General features: G+C 44.3%; 2 protein-coding genes across 5 annotated transcripts in view, besides 1 other annotated feature; both read left to right on the top strand.

Moving 5' to 3' along the window:
- Positions 1–21,328, top strand: part of BTK (Bruton tyrosine kinase) — a 41,347-nt gene extending 20,019 nt beyond the window's left edge. For 2 of the 3 annotated variants that reach the window (NM_001287344.2, NM_000061.3), the window contains exons 5-19: positions 699–780; positions 8,089–8,217; positions 8,538–8,605; positions 10,023–10,210; positions 10,628–10,690; positions 11,431–11,485; positions 12,082–12,161; positions 12,341–12,468; positions 13,195–13,269; positions 13,823–13,994; positions 14,510–14,726; positions 16,084–16,148; positions 16,790–16,908; positions 17,427–17,584; positions 20,822–21,328. In NM_001287344.2, the coding sequence (NP_001274273.1) occupies positions 699–780; positions 8,089–8,217; positions 8,538–8,605; positions 10,023–10,210; positions 10,628–10,690; positions 11,431–11,485; positions 12,082–12,161; positions 12,341–12,468; positions 13,195–13,269; positions 13,823–13,994; positions 14,510–14,726; positions 16,084–16,148; positions 16,790–16,908; positions 17,427–17,584; positions 20,822–20,893 (1,671 nt within the window). In that variant the 3' untranslated portion in view covers positions 20,894–21,328. The remainder of the gene's footprint in view (positions 1–698; positions 781–8,088; positions 8,218–8,537; positions 8,606–10,022; positions 10,211–10,627; positions 10,691–11,430; positions 11,486–12,081; positions 12,162–12,340; positions 12,469–13,194; positions 13,270–13,822; positions 13,995–14,509; positions 14,727–16,083; positions 16,149–16,789; positions 16,909–17,426; positions 17,585–20,821) is intronic. The other variant, NM_001287345.2, reaches the window with a different exon arrangement.
- On the top strand, positions 22,036–25,117 carry TIMM8A (translocase of inner mitochondrial membrane 8A). Of its 2 annotated transcripts, none has more exons than NM_004085.4 (2): positions 22,036–22,245; positions 24,118–25,117. In NM_004085.4, the coding sequence occupies exons 1-2, from the start codon at positions 22,114–22,116 to the stop codon at positions 24,277–24,279; spliced, it is 294 nt and encodes a 97-aa protein (NP_004076.1). In that variant the 5' UTR covers positions 22,036–22,113; the 3' UTR covers positions 24,280–25,117. The 2 variants fall into 2 exon arrangements, with proteins under 2 accessions (NP_004076.1, NP_001139423.1); NM_001145951.2 differs by having other exon boundaries at positions 22,377–25,117.
- Positions 22,065–22,114: an enhancer, noted in NCBI's record as "active region_29808". NCBI's record gives its function as "activates an Ori minimal core promoter by ATAC-STARR-seq in GM12878 lymphoblastoid cells {active_cell/tissue: GM12878}" and the evidence as "EXISTENCE:reporter gene assay evidence [ECO:0000049][PMID:35858748]".

Below are 25,827 nucleotides of genomic sequence, written 5' to 3'. Positions count from 1 at the left end.
ATTATGTGATGTCTATAAACTCTGTGAGGGTTGGAACCACATCTTATATATTTCATGCATCTTCGTAACACCTAGCATGATGCCTTGTACATGGTTAAAAAAATACTATTTGACTTGATGATATTGCTTATTATATACCTTACCCTTTTTGAAGTAGGTTTGTAGTTCCAAATTTGATTTATTTTGGCTAATATTGGTGAGGGGAGGCCACTAGGTAGTGGAGGTGGAGGTAATTAGCCATGAATTAAAATTTTACTCCATATTATCCAAGTGAATAACCCATATGTACTAATCAAGACTTAATTTATATAGATTATCACTTCATTTCTCTTCTATACAAAGTCAGAATTTAATAATAAGATAAAATACCCTTTGTTGGATAAACAAAAATGTTATCTCCAGCAAGGGCAGACGGAGACCTTATAAAATAAGTTTATGCATGAATTGAAGCACAAGTCAGGAGGACCTAAGAGTATGAAAAATTCTAAGAGCTTTTAAACGCTACATTCCTAGATATGAAGAGTTCAGGAATCCTTCAGATAGTTCACATAACCTGAACACCATTGCTGACTGAAGATTCTGCCTTTCTTTGTTTTCTACAATAAATATACAAATTGTCCCCTAAGATTAGTACTTTCAAGGTCTTTCTCCTTTTTTCTGAATCCTAACTGCTGAAGTCTGTGTTTTCATCGACCCAGGTTGTATATGATGAAGGGCCTCTCTACGTCTTCTCCCCAACTGAAGAACTAAGGAAGCGGTGGATTCACCAGCTCAAAAACGGTGAGAATTATTTGGAAAATAAATGTTTCCAAAGAAAGAAGGAAAGGAAGGAAGAGGAGATAGACGGGAGGAAAAGGAAAGAAGGAAGAGAGAAACGAGAAAGAAAGAGAAAGGAGAAACGTAGAGAGAAAAGAAGAAAAAAATGGATAGAAGGGGAGAAAAGAAAGAGAGAGGGAGGGGAGGAGGGAGACAGGAAGGAAGGAAGCAAGGAAAGAAGGAAGGGGATGAGGGAGGAAAGAAAGACAAATAACAAAGAAACAAAGGAAAGTTTGTATTTTGTTTCAATATTAGTAATACAATTGAGCTTAGTATTCCATCATATGAATAAAAGATAAAATATTAGACTAAGAGTTTCCCAGTTCTATCACTATCTCTCTAGTGCAATTTTGTAATTTTAGGCACCTCCATTTCTCTATTTATTAAGAAAAGTCCCATTTTTTGCACTGAATACAAGGGTGGTGTGGCATTCAATGGTTATGCAATATTTAGAATCCTAAGTATAAAATACCTAGCTCCAAAAAATTAAATAGATGATGTATGAGAGTGCTTGAAGTCAGAGTCAGAGAACCTGGTTTCAAGCCCTCTTTTACCATTTACAAACTGGGTGATTTCTGGCAAGAAGGCCAACAAGCTTCTTTGATGCTCAGTTTCTTCTTCTCAAAGGAGAATAATGGTAATTCATGCCACATCTACCTCTGGGGTTGTTGTAAGGATCAAATGAAGTAATAATACATGTAAAAGCACATGGAAAACTGTAAATCACTGTATACGAAAGCACTGTACATCTCTTTGTTGTGGATAAATATTTCCCAAGGAAATATTTCATATTCCTTGCTTTGTGAGGACCTAAACTTGAACAGTTTCAGCATTTCACATCAACCATACAGTGTGTTCAGATAAACTTGACTGTAAATGCTTGCAGCACAGGATGCATGCACACATATTTGTGTGTATATATAGCCACATGTCAAGTGACTGAGAGATTAACTGGTTGAGTTGACATCAGGAAAGGCTGCCTAGAGAAACAGGAAGGATGGCAGACTGATAATGGTATGGTTGGGTTATTGCATGACAGCCCTTTGTCTTAATAAACATTTAGATTCTGATACTCACTGGCTGGCTATACCAGCCTTGTACACTCCCTTGAATGCAAGTTTGGTTGGTCAAAATTATATTAGCCAAGTCTTTCAAACTGAAAGGGAACAGGAGGAACGAAGATGAAGGATCATCTATTCAATTATTGCTATGTGCCAGATATTGAGCTAAATACCTTTTATATATTATCTCATTTAATTTTCACAACAACCTTGGCCTAAAAACAACAACAATGATAACTAACACTTAATGAGCACTTACTATGTAGCAGGCTCTGTCCCAAGTGCTTCAAATGTATTACTTATTTGATCTTTGCAGTAGCCTTAAGAAGTATGTATTATTCCCCTATTTACAGATGAGGAAACTGAAGCTCAAAGATGTTATGCAACTTGCTCATGGGCACACAGTGAATGGTGGAGCCTGGATTCTTATCACATCCCTGTGTCTGTATGACTCCAAAGCCCAAGCTCATTGCATAGTTTTGCGCTGCTTGGTTTCCAAGTCCAGAAATTTCACATGTAGTTGGTTGCAAAATATTCTATAGTAAAGCTATGTTGAATATTACAAATAGGTGATATCCTGCAATACACAGTTCAGTTCTTGGCATATTTTAAGATAAGGGGTCTGCTTTAGCCCTGGGGCTACAAAATGAGCAAACTCTTTAATACTGCTTATTGTGATACAGGCTCTTCTTTAAGTTCTTTACATATATTAACTTTGTATTAACCATATGAGGCAGTTATCTTGTCATCCCCATTTTACAGATAAGAAAGCTGAGGTACAGAGAGGTTAAGTAACTTGCCCAAAGGCCCTCGGTTGGTAAATGGCAGGGTCAGGCTTTGAATTCAGGCCCCAGACTCCATGTCCTGAACCAATATACTATCTCCAGCCACAGAAATATTTGCAGAGACTGGGATAAGAGCTCTGCAGGACATGTATACTTGTACTTCTTTAGTTCTCTCCACAATGCCTCATACAGCGCCTTGCACACAGAAAGGGATCAGTAGTTGTGTTAACTGATTTATCTGTGGGAATAAACAACCATCACCAGCTTGGGCTCCACATCGATAAATGGCTAGGTTTTAGTCTGGAAATGGGGGAATGCAAGGCAGACTAGCTGAAGGAGAAATAAGGGAGAAACTGGCATGCTCAAGTTGGTAACTTCTTTACACTTCATATACTAATTTCAAAACCAGTCATAGTTTAGTCCAACAAATATTTATTTATTTATTTATTTATTTATTTATTTATTTATTTATTTATTTTGAGATGGAGTTTCGCTCTTGTCACCCAGGCTGGAGTGCAATGGCACGATCTCGGCTCACTGCAACCTCCGCCTCCCGAGTTCAAGCGATTCTCCTACCTCAGCCTCCCGAGTAGTTGGGATGACAGGCGCCTGCCACCATGCCCAGCTAATTTTTGTATTTTTAGTAGCGACAGGGTTTCACCATGTTGGCCAGGCTCGTCTCAAACTCCTGACCTCAGGTGATCCACCCGCCTCTGCCTCCCAAACTGCTGGGATTAAAGCATGAGCCACCACACCTGGCCCAACAAATATTTATTGAATGTCCACTATATTTAAGGGTGAGTAATGACCGAAGATAAGGATATCCAGCTTGTGAGCTTGTGAGCTTTCTTTTTTTCTTTTTTTTTTTTCTTGATATGGAGTCTCACTCTGTTGCCCAGGCTGGAGTAGAGTGACGTGATGTTGGCTCACTGCAACCGCCGCCTCCTAGGTTCAAGCAATTCTCCTCCCTCAGCCTCCCGAGTAGCTGGGACTACAGGCGTGCACCATCATGCCCGGCTAATTTTTGTATCTTTGGTAGAGACAGGGTTTCATCATGTTGGCCAGGCTGGTCTTGAACTCCTGACCTCAGGTGATCCACCTGCCTCGGCCTCCCAATGTGCTGAGATTACAGGCGTAAGCCACTATGCCCAGCCGAGCTTGGTTTCCTAACTCAGATGTTAACCTTACAATCTTGATTATGTGCTGCTTTTAAGGTTCATTAGCTAAGTAAATTCACAACAGGCTAAAAATAAAGCCAAAATAAATAAACAGAAACACCATCACTTCAGCTGGGTCATCAGTGTGATCAGGGAGTGTGGCTAGGCACATCTTTGCCTTCTCTTCCCTTATGTTTCACCAAAGGCATTTTTTTTCCCAGTAGTTCCACCTGGGTATAGTCTTGTTGAACCGTCCTGGGCTAACAACAAGAGCCAAAAAGTAGGCACCTTCTGACAAATACCATGATTGCTGGGAGATTTAGGTGCAAGTCCTAACAATCCCAGGACAGTCCCAGGTGCTGCCAATGTCAATAGTGAGTTAGCCTAGGAGCCACAAAATAATGATATTATTCCACTCTTTTTGTTTTTTTCTTGTTTGTTTTTATGTTTTTATTATCCTACTCTTGGGTAAAATGCACCAATAAGAAATCATTGACATGAAAAGGGGACCTCATGAGAATACTGGTTACCTTTGCAGGGATATTGACTGAAGAGGCATGAGGTGCTGGATCTCAAGGAGGTTAAATGGGTGTGGAAAAATATGGTTTGCTGTACACATTAAATCTGTGCACTTTATTATATGTAAATTATACCTCAATTTTATTTATTTATTTTTTTTTATTTTGAGAGAGAGAGTCTTGCTCTATCGTGCAGGCTGGAGTGCAGTGGCACAATCTCGGCTCACTGCAAACTCTGCCTCCTGCGTTCAAGCGATTCTCCTGCCTCAGCCTCCCAAGTAGCTGGGATTACAGGCGCTCACCACCACGCCCAGCTAATTTTTGTATTTTTGGTAGAGACGGGATTTCACCATGTTAGCCAGGCTGGTCTCAAATGCCTGACCTCAAGTGATCTGCCCACCTCAGCCTCCCAAGGCGTGAGCCACTGCACCAGGCCTATACCTCAATTTTAAAAGCATAGCCTCAGATACCTCATATCCAGCTGCCACATTTTCTCAATGGTGCTTGCCATGCAAAGGTTGTATTCCTGTGGGCTTAGCCACAGACTCTCTCTTTCCATTTCCTTAAATATGGCAGTGGGCCCTTCTATGTTCCAGCACCACAAATATTTGCCTATACTTATTCTTGAATCTTTGGTCAAGCTCAATAGAACCTATCCTAATTGCAAATTCAAAAGTAGGCAAATGACCTGACCTCACCAAAATGAATAAGAGAATAGCATTGGCAAATCTCCTACAAACAGTATGGAAAGGAATGATTCATGTATGCCTGAAACAGAATTTTAGACATTAACCTCATAAATATGGATAGAAAAGACCAGCCCATCAAGTGCTTGGAGAATATGTACTAACCATTAGTGCTTCCCAATAGGGGAATGTGCATTGGTGAAGCAAGCAGTCTCCCCCAGCCCTCCCACTTGTACACCCTGCTTTTGCAATCCTGTCCTAAGTAGCTGGAAATACCAGCTTTGGATTAGCCAACAAAAGAAGGGGTGTCATCTTCAAGGGACCTCTTAAGAGGCAGACATTATTTGAGAATGTAGGGAGGTTTCTTAATGAGTGTGCTAGGGGTGGGGAAGACAAGAAGCCTTATTTCCCCTCATTATCGTATTAGCAAGCTTAGTTTATTAGAGTGGCTAATTGTCGATTAGGTATTCTTTGGCATGTCTACTGGTGCCCAGCCCTGCAGAAGACAGAGCAAACTTGAGGATCTTCAAATCCCTAGGTGACAGGGAGTGGCATGCGGGGAGGGGCCAGAGTGTGGATGTGGTAGGAGTAATCAATCCTGGCAGGGAGGAGTATCAATGACATTGTTCACAACTCTACCAGTGCTTAGTAATAACAAAAGGCAGACAGACTTTGGGTCGGTTTTATTATTGTTTTAAAATTCCCTCTAGGGGCTGGGCGTGGTGGCTCATGCCTGTAATCCCAACACTTTGAGGGGCGATGGGGGGCGGGTGAATCACGAGGTCAGAAGTTCGAGACCATCCTGGCCAATATGGTGAAACCATGTCTCTGCTAAAAACACAAAAATTAGCCGGGCTTGGTGGTGCGTGCCTGTAGTCCCAGCTACTCGGGAGGCTGAGGCAGAAGAATCGCTTGAACCCAGGAGGTGGAGGTTACAGTGAGCCGAGGTGGCACCACTGCACTCTAGCCTGGGCAACAGAGCGAGACACTGTCTCAAAAAAAAAAAATTCCCTCTATGCAATGCAGTCCCTTATAGCCTGCACTCTATCTGAACAGCTCCCACCATTCTGTCCTTGGTACACTGGTGAAGAGGAGTGCTGAAAAAGTCAGGGTGAGGGTGGGTAGGGGAGAATGGTTTGAAGTTTTCAAATCTATGTGGAGAAAAGTACCAAAATGGCTCTTAAAAAAAAAAAAAGAACTTTTGTTCATTTGCCTGCAAAATGCACCAGCTACTAGCAGCTTTTAGGCTTTCCTGCAAAGCCTTAAGTGAGTGAAGTGTGACTAGCAAGCCCTTAAGGATTTGAGTTGTTTCTTTTTCTTTTTTCTTTTCTTTTTTTTTTTTTTTGAGTTGGAGTTTCGTTCCTGTTGGCCAGGCTGGAGCACAATGGCGCCATCCCAGTTCACTGGGACCTCCACCTCCTGGGTTCAAGTGATTCTCCTGTCTCAGCCTCCCGAGTAGCAGGGATTATAGGTGCATGCCACCATGCCCAGCTAATTTTTGTATTTTTAGTAGAGACGGGGTTTCATCATATTGGTCAGGCTGGTCTTGAACTCCTCACCTCAGGTGATCTACCCGCCTCTGCCTCCCAAAGTGCTGGGATTACAGGTGCGAGCCACCACACCCAGCCGGATTTTAGTTGTTTTCTACAGTGGAAGGTTTTGTTTTGTTTTTGTCTTTTTTAAAAAAAGTTATGCCAGCCACTGGACCTGGTGGTGAGTGCTTGTAGTCCCAGGTATTTGGGAAGCTGAGGTGGGAGGACTGCTTGAGTCCAGGAATTCAAGGCCTGCCTGGGAAACACAGGAAGACCCCATCTCCAATAATAATAATAATAATAATAATAATAATAATAATAATAATAATAATAATGTGCGGGATTCTTCTTAGCTGTAAATGCTGAAATGTATATGTTCTCAAATGTGCGTGTTCCTGGACCAGCCTGGGTCTTTGCTCTAGTGTTTGCTGCTATCAGTTATTTCAATTGTCTTTGCTTCTCTCAGTTATCTGACACTATGAACCCTGGATGACTTTTCTTTTTTTTTTTTTTTGTTGAGACAGAGTCTCACACTGTCACCCAGGCTGGAGTGCAGTGGCGCGATCTCGGCTCACTGCAACCTCCGCCAGCCAGGTTCAAGCGATTCTCTTGCCTCAGCCTCCCGAGTAGCTGGGATTACAGGCACGCTGTAATTTTTGTACTTTTAGTGGAGACGGGGTTTCACCATCTTGGCCAGGCTGGTCTTGAACTCCTGACCTCATGCTCCACCCACCTCGGCCTCCCAAAGTGCTGGGATTACAGGCGTGAGCCACCGCGTCTGGCCAACTTTTCTAATTGACTTCATGTGAAGGTTTTTGATATGCCATAGTATTATAAACACCAATACTAATTCCTCCTCTCTGCATCCACTCTATTCTTTGCAAAATACTTTTACTCTGGGAGATCTTTTGGGCCTCACAACTCCATGAGGGAATGAAGCTGCTGTGTTACCTCTGGCAATGAGCTCAGTCTACCTCAGTGGCCCTAGGAAGATTCAAATCATGTTGATTCTAGAGGCAAAGTCACCTTCATTTGCCCTTGAGATCAGCTCTGTTGACTATTCTATACAGAAAGCCTCATGCAGAAGTTCTCACTAAGGCTAATTATCCCTAAAAGATCACTCAAGGAACTGAGAAATCAGTATTAAAAGCTGGGGAGATTGGCCTGGGCACACTGTTTCCCTTATCTGGGAAACACTTGCCTTACAGGAACATTGTAATGGCTACTGGGAAAACATAGATAACATATTTCTGTTGTTGGGCTCTCAAGCCATCAGATAGTCTTATCTTGTTGATTGGGAGATACTCCTCATCACAGACCACTAAAGAAAACTGCACAGGAACTGTCTGGGACCAGGGCACAGTCAGGCAGGCCAGTCATGTGAGCCAACTGGTCCTGTGATCTGCTCTCCTTCAGGGTGGCCAAGGAGGGGGCAGTTGCTTGAAGTTCACCACTAAGCTCAAAGAGGAAAACATGCAAATGGTGGCTTCTCCTCCATGTCAGATGTGATCTCTCTCTTCTTTCCTGCTACAGTAATCCGGTACAACAGTGATCTGGTTCAGAAATATCACCCTTGCTTCTGGATCGATGGGCAGTATCTCTGCTGCTCTCAGACAGCCAAAAATGCTATGGGCTGCCAAATTTTGGAGAACAGGAATGGAAGTAAGCAATCTGATCGATATAATTTCTTTCTCCTTTGACTGTTTCCATCACTCTCCCAAGGGTCTGTCAAGCCCAGGGTCATAGCATAAGGTTGTACACTTTGGGTGCTAAACAAAGGGTCCTGGGGGAGGGAGGAGGCACATGGGGGCTGAAATCCAGCTGGTAATCTGCTCTCCAAGCTATGTGACCTGGCATGCCTAGCTACTTTTTCTAACTTGCCTAAAGGCACTCAATATGGACGGCAAAGTCCCTGACCAAACCTGTCCTTGGCCCCTTTCCTAAAGTGCATTCCATATCATCACTGGCTTCTTGTTTTGCAGGCTTAAAACCTGGGAGTTCTCACCGGAAGACAAAAAAGCCTCTTCCCCCAACGCCTGAGGAGGACCAGGTATACAGGGAAACTGGGTGCTGCCACTGCTTAAATGGAAACTTATAGTCAAGCCCTAAGAACACACTAGAGTCTTAGAATTACCCTGGGACTTGGCAGTGTTAATTGGTATTCTTGCTAAGATGGGGGATTTGTTCTTCTAATTAGGATTTCCTCCTCGATGGAAAGATAGAAGGCTCTCAGCAACCATGTAATCCAATCACCTGTTTAGAACAAAACCTGATTTTTTTAATGTAAAGTTTTTGTTGTTGTTTTGTTTTTGCTTTTGTTTTTGTTTTGAGACGGAGTCTCGCTCTGTCGCCCAGGTTCGAGTGTAATGGCATGATCTCGGCTCACTGCAACCTCCGCCTCCCAGATTCAAGTGATTCTCCTGTCTCAGCCTCCTGAGTAGCTGGGATTACAGGCATGCACCACCACGCCCAGCTAATTTTTGTATTTTTAGTAGAGATGGGGGTGTCACCATGTTGTTCAGGCTGGTCTCGAACCCGCCTCGGCCTCCTAAAGTGCTGGGATTACAGGCGTGAGCCACCGTGCCCAGCTGGAAAGTATTTTCAAACATACAGTAAAGTTAGAAGAATTTAACACTTAATACCAACATACTCAACACTTAGCACTAACACCACCTATCACTAACACTTCAGAAGTTTTTTTTTTTTTTTTGGTTCCTTCTTGAGGGCTAGAAAGCCCTTTCTCACATATTGTAAGTAAGTAGAGCAGGTATTATTATACTCATTTTACAAAGAAGGAAACCAAGGTTCTGAGCCACTTAGTAGATTCACGTACAAGTTTAGTGCCAAGCCGGTTTCCTGACCTTAGCTATAAATGGTTTTTGTCTAGTGAGCTTTAAAAATAGTAATGTTTGGGTCCCATTCCTGAGAGTTTGATTTTGATGTAATTGGTCTGTGAGGAAACTGACTAGGTATTGGAATTGGTTTTTTGTTTTTTGTGGGTTTTTTTTTGAGACAGTCTCACTCTGTCACCCAGGCTGGAGTGCAGTGGCGTGGTCTTGGCTCACTACAACCTCCGCCTCCTGGGGTCAAGTTATTCTCCTGCCTCAGCCTCCTGAGTAGCTGGGGCTATATGCACACACTACCATGCCCAGCTGATTTTTGCATTTTTAGTAGAGATGGGGTTTCGTCACGTTGGCCAGGCTGGTCTCGAACTCCTGGCCTCAACTGATCCGCCCGCCTTGGCCTCCGAAAGTACATTGGAATTTAAAAGTTCCATACATGGTCTTTATATGTGTGCAAGGCTGAGAACTCCTGCACTGGTGCTTAAAAATGGTTGTTGAATGACTGCTGAGTAATATTTTAGTATGCCTGATTTGGGTGTCTTGAGTAAGCCAGAGAGTTGGGAGAGAAGAGAAGAGTGCTTGGTATCTTGACAAACCCTCCTACCTTTTCTCCTAACTACATAGATCTTGAAAAAGCCACTACCGCCTGAGCCAGCAGCAGCACCAGTCTCCACAAGTGAGCTGAAAAAGGTTGTGGCCCTTTATGATTACATGCCAATGAATGCAAATGATCTACAGCTGCGGAAGGGTGATGAATATTTTATCTTGGAGGAAAGCAACTTACCATGGTGGAGAGCACGAGATAAAAATGGGTGAGTCCACACCAGCCCTTCCTGAGCCTGGTGCCTGCCCACTCCCTACACGCAAAAAGTGCTGCGGCATAATTCCCGTGATCAGCATCCTCATCAGAGACTGTTCTTCCCACACCAGACTGAACATGCTCTCCCTCCAAGTACTTCCCAGCGTGCAGCTCCCTATACATGGCCTCTGCCACATCTCTGAGCCTCTGTTGTTGGGCACATATAACCAATGCAACATGTGCATAAGCTCTGCACCTCACTGGCTCACTGCCTAACCATGCATCAGAGACATGATTGTCTTTGAGGGAGGTGCATGATACATATACCTCCATTTGAGATTTGTTCTGAGCTCAGGGACGTGGGCATATGAATCTGTCTCCTGGAGGCTGGGGAGGTGCTGGATGAACTGCCACATTGTTTCCTTCACAGGCAGGAAGGCTACATTCCTAGTAACTATGTCACTGAAGCAGAAGACTCCATAGAAATGTATGAGTAAGTATGTTTATGTCAGTCCACAATCTTCCAGGAGGAACTCTCTCTCTCTATATATATATATATTTATTTATTTATATATATTTTATATATATTTATATATATATATAACACACACAAGTGTATATATGTATACATATGTATACATACACTGGTGTATATATAGGTATATTATGTATACATACACAAGTGTGTATATATATATATACACTTTTTTCTACTTTCAACATATTTTTTATTTCAAGATATATATTAAAATTAGTACCATCTGAATCAAATGATGCCACCACCTCAAATTAGTGTATCTGTCTTACCTTTACCCCCCAAACACCCTCCATTTATGAGAGCTGGAGAGGTCACCATGCCCTCAAATCCAGAAGAATCACACTCAAAGAAAAAGGAGTTGACGACCTGATGAAAGAATTAAAATGTCAAACTGCTACTGTTGTCCTTTCCTCCCTAATCATGGAAGTGGATTGTTCTCAAGTGCCCTAGTCCCTGATCTCTTCCCTGCAACTCCCTGCTGCTTGCCTTTGCCTGCTACTCTCCATTTCCATGAATCTTCAATGCCAACCTGGGTTTGGGAAAGGGATACAGTGTGCTATGCACATGACAGATGCTCAGTAAATAGGGTTTGAGTGAGTTGACTGAATCACTGACATGGACAAGCCCTGGAGGGTGCTGTAACCTCCAATCTGCTTATGACCAGGAGCCACTCAAGCAGCACTCTCCCTTCACAGGTGGTATTCCAAACACATGACTCGGAGTCAGGCTGAGCAACTGCTAAAGCAAGAGGTAAGTGTGGAACCACTAGCACACAGCATTCTCCTTGCATAAGTGAGGATCTTGAACTGAGGGCCTGTTCTGCCCCCTACCTTTGGGCAAGGCAGTGTCAAAGCTGCCATCGTCTGGGATCCCAATTACACCATTTTTTTTGTTTTTGTTTTTCTGAGACGGACTCTCGGTCTGTCACCCAGGCTGGAGTGCAGTGGCGTGATCTGGGCTCACTGCAACCTCCGCCTTCTGGGTTCAAGTAATTCTCCTACCTCAGCCTCCCAAGTAGCTGGGATTACAGGCACATGCCACCACGCCCGACTAATTTTTGTATTTTTAGCAGAGACGGGGTTTCACCATGTTGGCCAGGCTGGTCTCGAACTCCTGACCTCAGGTGATCCGCCCACCTCGGCCTCCCAAAATGCTGGGATTACAGGCATGAGCCACCATGCCCGGCCTGCACCTTTTAATATTAAAAGCAATGAGGCTGTAGCTCAAGCGTGGAACTTGGCAGTAAAATCAGGGGTTGTTCTATTTTCTCTCTCAAGTTTGGGCAGGTGGGATGCAGGTGTGAGCACCACTTCCTCCTACAGACAGCTTCTTTTTCGTTGTTTCAGGGGAAAGAAGGAGGTTTCATTGTCAGAGACTCCAGCAAAGCTGGCAAATATACAGTGTCTGTGTTTGCTAAATCCACAGGGTGAGTGCTACTATTCCAAGGCCCTGAGGACAAAGAACAGGGGTACCCTCCTAATAGCTCCTTGATGCTGTGCCCGTCCCACTTCCTCTGTCTCTGAAACTCAAAACTCATCTCACTTCACTTCCTGGGTTCTGTTGACCTTTGTGCCCAAGTTACTGACTAAGCATCCACTTCTTCAGGGACCCTCAAGGGGTGATACGTCATTATGTTGTGTGTTCCACACCTCAGAGCCAGTATTACCTGGCTGAGAAGCACCTTTTCAGCACCATCCCTGAGCTCATTAACTACCATCAGCACAACTCTGCAGGTGAGTACCAGGGGCAACTGAGAAGGGAGTTACAGACACCAGGATAAGCAATGCAGGACAAGGTGATAAGAGGAAGAATCTGCCTCACAGGACAGTGTGAATTCACTGTGAAAGGAAATCCCTGTGATACTGGGTAGAAGCTGGTAAAGAGGTGGTCAGAGGCAGACCTACACCCAACAGGGACTGACTCTTTATTTGGTGATTGATGTTCAGTGTTAAGAGAAGACACAAAAGAGGCTGGTGACTGATTCATCAGCAAGTATTCATTGAGTTCCTACTGTGTACTCAGCGATTTCCTCAGTTCTAGAGGAGAACACGGGAACATTCTGAGTCGAGGTCCTTGTCCTCAAAGAACATACAGGTTAGACAACATCAGAAGAAAGTTTATAAGCACTGTAAAATTTCTAAAAACTGAGACATTAGTGAGGGCATGGATATGGGGGAACAGCTTCATCAAGAAGGTAGGATGTGAGCTAAGCCTGGGCTGGGAGGTGGGAATATATTCAGTTAGGCAGTGTATTTCAATTAGTATTTTCTCTTTTTTGTCCCTGAAAAGTATTTTGTGAGAGGAGAAACCTCTGGAAATATGTGGGTTCATGGAGGTCTTCTGGGATTCAAAATGTACTAGAAAGATACACACCGGAAGTGTGAGGCTTTAAGTGAGGATGTGTGAGGCATCCCACCTCCTACACCACACCAACAGCATGACCTCTCTCTCTGTTTCAGGACTCATATCCAGGCTCAAATATCCAGTGTCTCAACAAAACAAGAATGCACCTTCCACTGCAGGCCTGGGATACGGTAACTCCTTATTTCTCTGGGGTAGGGTGGACTGGCCAGTTGCAAAAACTACCTTTGCTGGCCTTGCCTTAGGGAGTGTCCTTGAGGTACACTGTTCTGCAGCAGCTGCCTCAAGGACGCTCAAGACAGATCCAAGCAAAAGTTATTCACTGATTTTCTTCCTCTAGTGGCTACGACTGGGACTGCAAAAACATAGATTCATAAAGGGCTTTGTCGTTGTCTTGGGTCTTTTTGTCTTTTATTTTTAATTGTGGGAAAATTTTCAGTACTATCCCTGAGTTCATTAACTACCATCACTAACATAATCATAAAGGGATTTGGGGAGGTTGCTTAGTCTATCTTCTTGCCTTATGGCCACCTTGAACCTAAAATTCCCAGATTCCTCTAACCAATGAATCCCGTTTCTGAGATTGACTTAAGCAAAGACAGATTAGTACTTCTAAAAATTTCCCTTTTACTAGTTTTCCTATTTCTACCCCAGTAGGGATTTTTGTCTATTGTAAGAATTATACATTCATGACCCCAAAGAATCACACCAAGACTTTATTGTTAGGATCATGGGAAATTGATCCAAAGGACCTGACCTTCTTGAAGGAGCTGGGGACTGGACAATTTGGGGTAGTGAAGTATGGGAAATGGAGAGGCCAGTACGACGTGGCCATCAAGATGATCAAAGAAGGCTCCATGTCTGAAGATGAATTCATTGAAGAAGCCAAAGTCATGATGTGAGTTATAGCCCAAACTCAACTCTCAATCTATTTGCTGGAGTCTAGGAATTCACACAACAACCCACTGAGGCTTAAAGATGACTTACAGTAAGAGAGGTTTGGGACGAGGGACTGAAGTTTACCTTTAACTGGCGGTAGTCCTAAGTGCTAAGATAATAGTTTCTGTGCCTTAGATATTGGTTGAGAATAGTGGTGATCATGGGTGTGTACCATCTCAGTAGCATTTGGGGGTAGATGTAGAAAATTAAACTTTCAAGAGAAATATTCTAATTTAGCCTTAGCGTTCTTTCATTCCTGGACTTGTTTCTTTTTCAATTGATGGGCTCCAAATCCCTGCTTGCTTCCACATTTTAAGCACTTTTGAGATTTAGGGTGGGAAAGAGGAAAATAAACTTGCTGGTGTGACCCCTTATCTGATGCTCTACTCCTAGGTCAGCCCCTTCCTCCCCAGCCCCTTTATTGCTATTATGCAGAGCCAAAAGGAGAAGACTAGTTCCTTGCCTTTCCTGTAGGAATCTTTCCCATGAGAAGCTGGTGCAGTTGTATGGCGTCTGCACCAAGCAGCGCCCCATCTTCATCATCACTGAGTACATGGCCAATGGCTGCCTCCTGAACTACCTGAGGGAGATGCGCCACCGCTTCCAGACTCAGCAGCTGCTAGAGATGTGCAAGGATGTCTGTGAAGCCATGGAATACCTGGAGTCAAAGCAGTTCCTTCACCGAGACCTGGTGGGACCTTAGAAGGATTGGCCTAGGACAAAGGGCTGATGGGGTGGAAGTAGCAGTGGAAGATATATCATACATGGTTGAGGGGGGCTGCTGGTGCCATCATTTCAATTTTATCTAGAAAGTACTATAAGTTAGGCGTGCCTCTGCCCCAGTGCTGAGCCCATCAAATATCTCCAGCCTCAGCTCCATGAAGTCTGCCGTGGTGGGAATCAGAGCAGTCACTCACTCCCAACCCCCTACCACCCACAAGAAAATGGTGGGGTCTTTCAGTGGCCATTCTGGATTTGGAACAGAAGGGACTGTGCTTCCCAATGGGACTGCTCCTGGCATGGGGCCATCATTTGGTTCCTTCAGAGTCACATACTGGGGCCTGTGGATGCATTTGGCCCACATGTGTGGGTTTTTTTTATGTTATATAATAATTAGCAAACCCTTAAAAAGAAACATTTCGCTTAAAAAAAAAAAAACCCTGGAATTTCCAGCTTCTCTTGAAAATCTACACCGTCTGGAAATACCAGGTCCACATTCTCACGAACCGCCTCCTTTCCTCTAGGCATGTACTCTCCATTTCCTGCAATCTCGATCCACTTCACTTCACTCTTACTTAACTTGCCTGGCCCCTGTAAGCATCAGAGTTTGCGCCCCTGTTTCTTTCAGTCAGGCCAAGGCTCAAATTGTCCTAGTCTCACTGGCAGAAAAGCAGAAAGCAAAAAAACTTACTTCTCATTCTCCCTTCTTTGTTTTTTGTTTGTTTTGTTTTGTTTTGTTTTGTTTTGAGATGGAGTCTCGCTCTGTTGCCCAGGCTAGAGTGCAATGGCACCATCTCGGCTCACTGCAAACTCCGCCTCCCAGATTCAAGCAATTCTCCTGCCTCAGCCTCCCAAGTAGCTGGGATCACAGGCGCCCAACACCACGCCCAGCTAATTTTTGTATTTTTAGTAGATGGGGTATCGCCATGTTGGCCAGGCTGGTCTTGAACTCTTGACCTCAGGTGATCCACCCACCTCGGCCTCCCAAAGTGTTGGGATTACAGGCGTGAGCCACTGCACCCAGCCTCTCCCTTAATTCTTTCAGCATATCAGTGAGGGAATGGGGTGGTGTGGAATTGCCCATGAGAATGCAATCGTTCTGTATGTCCTCAGTGCTTTACCTAGGACTACACAGCAGGTTGCTTTCCACGTGGTGGAAATGAATCAAAATTTCTTGGTGGCATCAACAGATTCCTATTAGGTGGGAAGGTGTCTGTAGTCGAAGGAGATGAAGCTTCCCTGGCTTCATTCTACTGGTCAGCAGAAGCTTTGTGCCTTTAACCTCTGTGCTGGGGACGGAGTCTCACTGGTCTCTGTTTGCACTACAGGCAGCTCGAAACTGTTTGGTAAACGATCAAGGAGTTGTTAAAGTATCTGATTTCGGCCTGTCCAGGTGAGTGTGGCTTTTTCATCTTTCCCTCCAGAAGTAAAAATAGCACAGTATGAAACATGGGTAGGTGTTACAGTTTTAATCCTCTCCTTTTCTTTTTTTTCTCATTCTAGCGTTTTCTGCCGATCTTTCTATTCTTTTTCTTCCTCTGAGTTATTTAAGCCACCTCTTTCATCCTTTTGTTTTATTGTCATATCCCTTTCCTTCCTTTCTCCCTTTATCTCTACCTCCTCTTTTTTAAATCTATTTCCCCAATACCTTATCTTGATCTATTAATCCTGATGACTTTACTCCATTCCTCCTTCTTTCTTAATCAGTCTAATTCCCAGTGACAACTGCAGATAAAAGGAAGGGAAGGAGAAGAGCAGAGAAAGGAAAGGTGGATAGAGAAGAGGAAGGGAGTACCTACTAGATCTTATTTCACTTCATCCTTCTTGTAACCATATTGTCAATCAGGAAAGCTCAATCAGATACAAAAACAGGAAATTCGTTAAAAGTAACGTTTGTAGAAGATACTAGTTGAGGAGGAGAGACTTTTGAGAAAGCCTGTGTGTGTTTGTGACACTCTTGTGACCGTGCCAAGAAAACGTAAGCAAATATCAAGCCTCCAAATCCTAATGCAACAAGTCCTGAATCCCTTGCAGGTATGTCCTGGATGATGAATACACAAGCTCAGTAGGCTCCAAATTTCCAGTCCGGTGGTCCCCACCGGAAGTCCTGATGTATAGCAAGTTCAGCAGCAAATCTGACATTTGGGCTTTTGGTAAGTGGATAAGATTACACAGATTATACAGCTCAAAGGATAAGAAATGCAATGGGAAAATTCACACTTTGCAACCTCCACAGAGATATTGTTCTTGCTTTCATTCTTCCAATCCTTGGGGAGTGCTTACTGTGTGTCAGCCACCACAGGGGTTTCTGAGGATGAAAACTAAACTGGACATGATCTCTGCCTTTTTAGAACTTAAACCATGTTAAGGAAAACAATTCATTCAGTTTTCAACAGCTTCTGAATACTGATTATGTACCAGGCACTCTGCCAGACCCTATAACTGCAAAGACAAATAAGATGCTGTCTCTCTTCTAGAGGAGTTAATAGTCTAGTACGACCTTGATCTCCATCTAGTGTGGTCAGTACTATAGCAGAAATTTGGGCAAAATATAAAAAGCACAGAGCGGGGAACCAACTGATTCTAATCTTTGAGGTTGATCTAGGAAGACTAGGACCCCTGCTATCCAAAAAGACTGCAAACCAATTTAATAATTTTTTTCACCTTCTAGGGGTTTTGATGTGGGAAATTTACTCCCTGGGGAAGATGCCATATGAGAGATTTACTAACAGTGAGACTGCTGAACACATTGCCCAAGGCCTACGTCTCTACAGGCCTCATCTGGCTTCAGAGAAGGTATATACCATCATGTACAGTTGCTGGCATGAGGTAAGTGCTTTATTAGGATCTCTTAAATTATTTCCTTGAATCTACTTGCCCATTTAGCTGGCCATTCAGCCACCAAAGACTGATAGCTGCACACATTCTTTTTTTTCCTTTTTTTTTTTTTTTAATTTGAGACAAGGTCTCGCTCTTTCACCCAGGTTGGAGTACAGTGGCGCGATCTTGGCTTACTGCAACCTTCGCCTCCCAGATTCAAGCGATTCTCATGTCTCAGCCTCCCAAGTAGCTGGGATTATAGGCGTGCACCACCACACCAAGCTAATTTTTTTTTTTTTTTTTGGTGACACAGTCTTGCTCTGTCACCCAGGCTGGAGTGCAGTGGCACGATTTTGGCTCACTGCAACCTCTGCCTCCTGGGTTCAAGTGATTCTCCTGCCTTAGCCTCCCGAGTAGCTGGGACTACAGGCACATGCCACCGTGCCCAGCTAATTTTTGCATTTTTAGTAGAGACAGCATTTCACCATGTTGGCCAGGCAGGTCTTGAACTCCTGACCTCAGGTGATCCACCCACCTCGGCCTCCCAAAGTGCTGGGATTACAGGCGTGAGCCACTGAGCCTGGCCAATTTTGTATTTTTAGTAGAGATGGCATTTCGCCATGTTGACCAGGCTGATCTCGAACTCCTGGCCTCAAGTGATCCGCCCACCTCGGCCTCCCAAAGTGCTGGGATTAGAGGCATCAACCACCACGCCAGGCCTTGCACACATTCTCTGACCTTGGCCTGCAACTTGATCATCTGATGGCCAGAGGCTTTCCCAGGCCCACTCCGATTCTCACTAGAGTGTCATTAGTACACTCCAATGCCAGCTCAGCTTTAGGGAGTGAGGTGTTGTGGGGCCATGTCATCTAGCATAAGCAGGCAGCCAGAGGCATTCAGACAAGTGAATGGGCATTACAAAAGAAAAGTCATGAAAGTTTGTTCATTCCTTTGTGTGTCATTGGCCCTTTCTTCTACTTTATTAGCTGCCAACCGTTTCTGGCTGAGGTCCTAAATGAGATTTTTTTTTTTTTTTTTTTGAGACCGAGTCTTTCTCTGTCGCCCAGGCTGGAGTGCAGTGGCGTGATCTCGGCTCACCGCAAGCCCCGCCTCCTGGGTTCACAGCATTCTCCTGCCTCAGCCTCTCGAGTAGCTGGGACTACAGGGGCCCGCCACCACGCCCGGCTAATTTTTTGTATTTTTAGTAGAGACAGGGTTTCACCGTGTTAGCCAAGATGGTCTCGATCTCCTGACCTTGTGATCCACCCGCCTCTGCCTCCCAAAGTGCTGGGATTACAGGCATGAGCCACAGCGCCCGGCTAAATGAGATTTTTTTTAAAACCTACTGCTTGAAAGGGAACTAAAACAGGTAGTGGGTTTTTTGTTTGCTTTGTTTTGTTTTGCTTTTTAATATGGTGCATCGTGGGGTATGTGGGTAGGTGTGGTATTTTGGAAATAAGGAAATCTGTCCTACTACTATTAAACTGCTTTGCTCCTCTTACCTCGAGTTCTTCCCAAGATGCCTTCTCTACTTTTCAGTAGATCCTTGGCAACCTAAATTTCTAGTAGGAAATAAATGCTCAACTCTTCAGAGTGTCCAACAAGTGCATATGTGAATCTGGAGCCTTCTTGGTGAGGTGAAAAGTGGGTATCTGGATCCGAGCATGGCTGGTTTCCCTCGAACAAATGACAGATCACAGAGAAAGTGCAGAAAGGGAGGACTCCTTCTTTCTTCTGTGTGATGCAGGATTAAGGGTGATTGGCTATGCTCCCTCCCAATCAGGACCTTCTTACTCTGCTAATTAAAAATGATTTCAGACAGGTACTTTATCCACAGCCTGTTTAAAGGAGTGGTCAAAATTGGATGCATATCAGAAACCCTAAGGAGCTCTTAAAAATGCAGATTACTGGCTGGGCATGGTGGCTCATGCCTGTAATCCCAGCAGTTTGGGAGGCCAAGGCAAGCGGATCACGTGGTCAGGAGATCTAGACCATTCTGGCCAACATGGTGAAACCCTGTCTCTACTAAAAATACAAAAATTAACCAGGCGTGGTGATGTGTGCCTGTAATCTCAGCTACTCAGGAGGCTGAGGCAGGAGAATGACTTGAACCCAGGAGGTGGAGGTTGCAGTGAGCCGAGATCCTGCCACTGCACTCTGGCCTGAGTGACAGAGCGAGACTGTGTCACAAAAAAAAATTCAGGTAACTGGGACTTTTCTCCAGAAATTCTGATTAGCTATGCCTGAAGTGGAACCCAGAAATCTCTTTTTAAACTTCCCAGGAAATTCTGATACTCAGCTAAGTTTAAGAATCACTGAGTCAAGGAATCAAGAAATTGATGACCATTGGTTCTAACAGATTGAGAGCATTCTGGCATGAATGTTCCCTGAACCACTAAATACCAAATACCTCGGGGGCTTATGGGCCATGGCCATCAAAAAGAACCTTAGTCGTAGGCCGGGCGCGGTGGCTCACGCCTGTAATCCCAGCACTTTGGGAGGCTGAGGCGGGGGAATTACCTTAGGTCAGGAATTCGAGACTAGTCTGACCAACATGGTGAAACCCGGTCTATACTAAAAATACGAAAATTAGCTGGGCGTGATGGCGTGCACCTGTAATCCCAGCTACCTGGGAGGCTGAGGCAGGAAAATCGCTTGAACCTGGGAGGTGGCAGTGAGCTGAGCTCACACCACTGCACTCCAGCCTGGACAACAGGGTGAGACTCTGTCTCAAAAAGAAAAAAAAAAAAAAACCTTAGTCTTTTTGTTACCAGTGGTAAAAAAAAAAAAAAAAAAAAAAAGGTCCCAGGTACTCAGAATCCCTGCTCAGTAATACAGCCTGTGGTTTTGAAATATTAATCACTAAAAATTATCACATGGGATTTCTGTTCTGCCAACCACTTGAACTTGTTTGGTAGCCATTTTTCACTTGAGGATCCAAAATAAGAATGTGTTGTATACAGTTACATAATGAACTTGCCCTCAATTTTGATCAGTGTGATTGTCAGTTTAATTTGCAAATTGTTCTTATCACACTAATAACCTGAGTTACTAAAGATGAAAAGTGCACAAAGACTTTATGGAGAGCTGCTATTTCTTTTTTTTTTTTTTTTCCTTTTGTAATCGACAGGGCATGCTACTGGGCATAGAGCATATATTTAATAAACATTTGCTGCTTACTCATTGCATTTCCCTTGAATTCTGGATTCTAGCCACTCTAACACTTTACTTTTTCTTTGGTTTTAGAAAGCAGATGAGCGTCCCACTTTCAAAATTCTTCTGAGCAATATTCTAGATGTCATGGATGAAGAATCCTGAGCTCGCCAATAAGCTTCTTGGTTCTACTTCTCTTCTCCACAAGCCCCAATTTCACTTTCTCAGAGGAAATCCCAAGCTTAGGAGCCCTGGAGCCTTTGTGCTCCCACTCAATACAAAAAGGCCCCTCTCTACATCTGGGAATGCACCTCTTCTTTGATTCCCTGGGATAGTGGCTTCTGAGCAAAGGCCAAGAAATTATTGTGCCTGAAATTTCCCGAGAGAATTAAGACAGACTGAATTTGCGATGAAAATATTTTTTAGGAGGGAGGATGTAAATAGCCGCACAAAGGGGTCCAACAGCTCTTTGAGTAGGCATTTGGTAGAGCTTGGGGGTGTGTGTGTGGGGGTGGACCGAATTTGGCAAGAATGAAATGGTGTCATAAAGATGGGAGGGGAGGGTGTTTTGATAAAATAAAATTACTAGAAAGCTTGAAAGTCTTTGGTATCTCTATTAATCATGCAGCCTCCCTGAAGCGCCCTATCTCAGTATTCCAGAAAGCTGCTGTGTAGCATTAGTTTGGCATATTCCTACACTGAGAACTCGACAGGATCCTCCAGGTTTAAGCCCTCTTGTTAACTCCTGCCTCTGAATCAAAGATGCATTAAGCAAAAACAGTGCCTGTCACAGCACGCATGCAATGTTATTTGAATGAATCTGAAAGTTGGGCACAAACTGCCATAGCCTCATTTCCCTACGTCGGGAGAGGAAAACTCCATCAAAAAACGAAAGCCAGGGGCCCAGGATAGCCAACTAATCGACCCAGTCAACTAACTGACCCAGTGCACAACTCTGGTAGCTCAGAAAACGCGGGCTAATTTGGAAGTGGACAGGGGCGGAGCTGTGGGGCCAGCACGGAATGGATCACGTGGTCTGAAGTAACTTCCTTTTCTCCTTTCTTTTCTTTTTGGAGTAACATCTCAACGGCACCTCGGCTCTGGGCTGTAAGCCCTGCGATCTCAAGGCGCAAGGCTGGGCGCAACGGCAGGGTTGCGGGGTTACGGGATTGCGGGGTCCGGGGAGTGGAACCCGCCGACTCCGGGAACGAAGCACCGGCGCCAAGGTGTGGGAGGCGGCGGGGTGGAGTTGGACGCCTGCCTCGCGCCGACGCAGTGCACTCACGGGGGCGGTCCCAGAGGCAGCTAGCTGTGGTTCCGGTTCCGTCGCGGAGACACGTGAAGGTCGGTGCGGAGTTCGTCTCTGCAAGCTTGGTCGCCCTGGGATGGATTCCTCCTCCTCTTCCTCCGCGGCGGGTTTGGGTGCAGTGGACCCGCAGTTGCAGCATTTCATCGAGGTAGAGACTCAAAAGCAGCGCTTCCAGCAGCTGGTGCACCAGATGACTGAACTTTGTTGGGTGAGGAGCCTGGGGCTGGGACCTGAACACTGTACCTACTTTCCCTCTGTCCTTGTACCGCGGGACTCGCGACAACGTCGGGGATTCGGGGTGGGGGGCGGGCACCTGGCAGCAACCCTTGATTTTCTCAGGTTCCTGTGGCCTAGCCGGATGGGAGAAGGGTGACTCCGCTTCTCTGGGGACTGTCATTCCGGACCTCGGCTTTGTTGGTGTAGAGGACTGGGTATCAAAGAAGACTTATGCCACTGGACACCCAGCACTTTCAGGCACCCGAGGTTGAAGCTGCCTAGTGCTGGTCACCAAGACTGATCGGAGCCCCCAGTACTGGGATTTTATTTTTGGCAGCCCGAGTCCCAGAGAGTCAGTGAATCAGTGAATCTGCTATTCCTGGACTCCTCGGGATTTACCTTCATTACCCAGTTCTAACCCTCTCCGCTGAAAAATGAGTGGCTCCAGCCCAGTAACTATAAAAGTGGTGTAATCTCTTCCAACGTACATACTTATTTGCTTTCTTGTTGGATTGTTGTGTAATACCAAGCCGTTTTGGGTCTGAAGGTTGAGGAATTGAGCCTGCCCTGTGAGGGGACTTTGGCAAAAGGGTGGAAGGTATTTGCAGCTTGCCAACAACGTGTTCTGCTTGCCAAGGACAGATCTCCCTTAATGTACACAATTCACAGAATTCAGAGGCCAAGGATAATTTTCCTTGGAATTAGAGGGTCTGAGGCTTGTGTACATGGCAGAGAATAATGAACGAAATTTTTGAACCACTTAACTTGAACTATATACAGTCATTGGTTTCCATAGGCCCTTTCCCATAAACTTACAGTATTGCTGGACTATGACACCTACCAGATGCTTACTTAACTCTGGTCTGCCTTGGACCAGAGTGCTTTGATTCTTTTTTAAAAATATCTGTGATTCGTTACTTTGGGGCTAGGAGGGCGTGTGGTTAAGTACTATTGCAAGAATCTGTAAGCTGCCCGGCGCGGTGGCTCATGCCTGTAATCCCAGCACTTTGGGAGGCGGGTGGATCACTTGAGGTCAGGAGTTCGAGACCAGTCTGGGCAACACGGCGAAGCCCTGTCTCTACTAAAAATAGAAAAAATTAGCTGGGCGGGGTGGCACCCGCCTGTAATCCCAGCTACTCAGGAAGCTGAGGCACGAGAATGGCTTGAACCTGGCGGAGGTTACAGTGAGATCATGCCACTGCACTCCAGCCTGGGTGACAGAGCCAGACTCTGTCTCAAAAAAAAAAAAGAAAAGAAAAGAAAGGAAAAAAAACTGTAAGCTATGATGAACCCCTTAGGAAAATGCATTCAATTTTCCATTCATCATGACAGGATTCAAGAATCTCTAGCTTAAGTAGACAAGGTTATAGAATCTCAAGTCATATTTTTTTTCTTCTTTGGTAGGTTTTAGGGTACCTTGCTGAAATGATTTATCCTTTCACCCTTTTATTCTGTAGTTAACTTAAAGGCATTTAGTTCAAACAGCATTGTGGAGTTAAAACCAAATTCATTGAAAGGTTACTTCACTTATATTTTGCCATTTTCTTGCTCTGGAATATCCCAGCTCTGCCATTTTCTGGCCCTATGATTTTGGGTAAAGTATCTCTGTGCCACAGTTTTCCTCTTTGTAAAATGAGGATTTATAATAGTATCTATTCCATAGTATTGTTGTAAGAATTTAATGTAAGGCTAGAGAACATTGCTATATACTTGGTCAGCTGCCAAATGTGAACTATCAGTAACATATCAGATATTATTTTTAGGTAAAGTTTTTTTTTCTCTAAGCAACAAAAAGGGACCCCTGCCCCCAACCGTCTTTTTCTTTCCAAGTTCCCTTTGTGATTCTGTATCTTGTCCTGAGCAGGAGAAGTGCATGGACAAGCCTGGGCCAAAGTTGGACAGTCGGGCTGAGGCCTGTTTTGTGAACTGCGTTGAGCGCTTCATTGATACAAGCCAGTTCATCTTGAATCGACTGGAACAGACCCAGAAATCCAAGCCAGTTTTCTCAGAAAGCCTTTCTGACTGATCTCAGCATTACCTCTTTGGAAAAGGAAGGTAGTTCAAGAAATGAAGAGCTGTTGATGGGATGATTGAAGAAACAGCTATGAGAGGATTGGCTCCCATCTTTTGTTACTCTTGGGACATCCTGTCATCTGAGAATGAACAAAGACCAATTTTTTGTGTGTGAAGCTTAAGGGTCATATGTTTGCTTGTATTTTTTAATGCTAATCTTGTGAAAATAATTGACAGGCGAAAGAAAACTCTATTTAGATGCATATTACTGTACATGGGACTATGCTTTTCTCAAAGCCCCATTAACTGCTTCCTATAATTTTGATAGTGGGACCACATACGTAAAAATCTCTCATTTGTGTGGAGTCATTTCTGATTTCAGGGGAGATCCTTGTGTTTATCAGAAAGGGCAGAAGTAGGGGAAGAATAATTTGGTATCCTTATCTAGTGTTTGATTGTCAATGCTGGAGAAAAATATCTGTAAGAGTGTTTATACAGTACACTTCAGTTATCTTGATCTCCCTTTCCTATATGATGATTTGCTTAAATATCCATATTAAGTAAGTCTCAAGGTAGGGTAGGCAGCCTGAGAGTCTAGAGGCCTTTAGTTATAAAGGAATCTAGCCAGTGAACATAATTCTTATTACTAGACTGCCACAAGGAAGAAATTAACTTACCCTGTATATCAGGGTACAAAAAATTCAGTGATGTGCCTAAATAAGTTATAAAGATTTAGGCCAATCAGAAGCTAACAGCAGTTTCAGGTAGAGGTGCATGCCTAATGTTAGTTAGTGTAGATTCCATTTACTGCATTCTTCTGATCACTGAAATAAAAGCTATATAAGATTCAACTCTGTGATTGAGAAGGCATCCTATTGCAGTTATTATCTGCAACCCGGAGAGATTTAGCATGGGCTGATTCCAAGGTTAAAATGTAGTCAGTCAGTCTGGGTACCTGCTCTGTGTAAGGTACAGCACAGTATTCCAGGGGTTCCTGACCTTTTTGAGAGAAAAGAGAACCTAGAGATGAGATGGGGAGGGAAGCGGTTATGTGCTGGCAGTCAAGTCCGTGAGTATAGTAGAGGTTGTATTGACTGGATTCTCCTCTTATTTCAAATCCTTGTAGACTGGAGTATAGACCTAAAATGGACCTACTTGTTGGGAGCCTCTAGTGCAAATCCATGAAATCTGGGGAAATGAACATCTCTAAAAGCTTCAAGTCCCTGTTTAGATTTTCCCCATAAAGGTGCTAGAAGGACTTTTTTTTTTTTTTTTTTTGAGACGGAGTCTTGCTCTGTCGCCCAGGCTGGAGTGCAGCGGTGGGATCTCGGCTCACTGCAACCTCCACCTCCCGGGTTCAAGTGATTCTCCTGCCTCAGCCTCCTGAGTAGCTGGGATTACAGGCGCACGCCACCATGCCTGGCTAATTTTTGTACTTTTAGTAGAGACGGGGTTTCACCATGTTGGTCAGGCTGGTCTCAAACTCCTGACCTCATGATCTGCCCACCTTGGCCTCCCAAAGTGCTGGGATTACAGGCGTGAGCCACCGCACCCAGCTGGA

The sequence above is a fragment of the Homo sapiens genome, chromosome X (assembly GCF_000001405.40).
Source record: "Homo sapiens chromosome X, GRCh38.p14 Primary Assembly".
Classification (NCBI taxonomy): domain Eukaryota; kingdom Metazoa; phylum Chordata; class Mammalia; order Primates; family Hominidae; genus Homo; species Homo sapiens.
This window is presented reverse-complemented; position numbering and strand designations above follow the sequence as displayed.

Excerpts from the sequence above, each read along its gene's own strand:
- TIMM8A (NM_004085.4), top strand. The coding sequence starts at position 22,114 with ATGGATTCCTCCTCCTCTTCCTCCGCGGCGGGTTTGGGTGCAGTGGAC. Across the intron at positions 22,246-24,117 it reads AGATGACTGAACTTTGTTGG|GAGAAGTGCATGGACAAGCC; the intron begins GTGAGGAGCCTG and ends TGTCCTGAGCAG.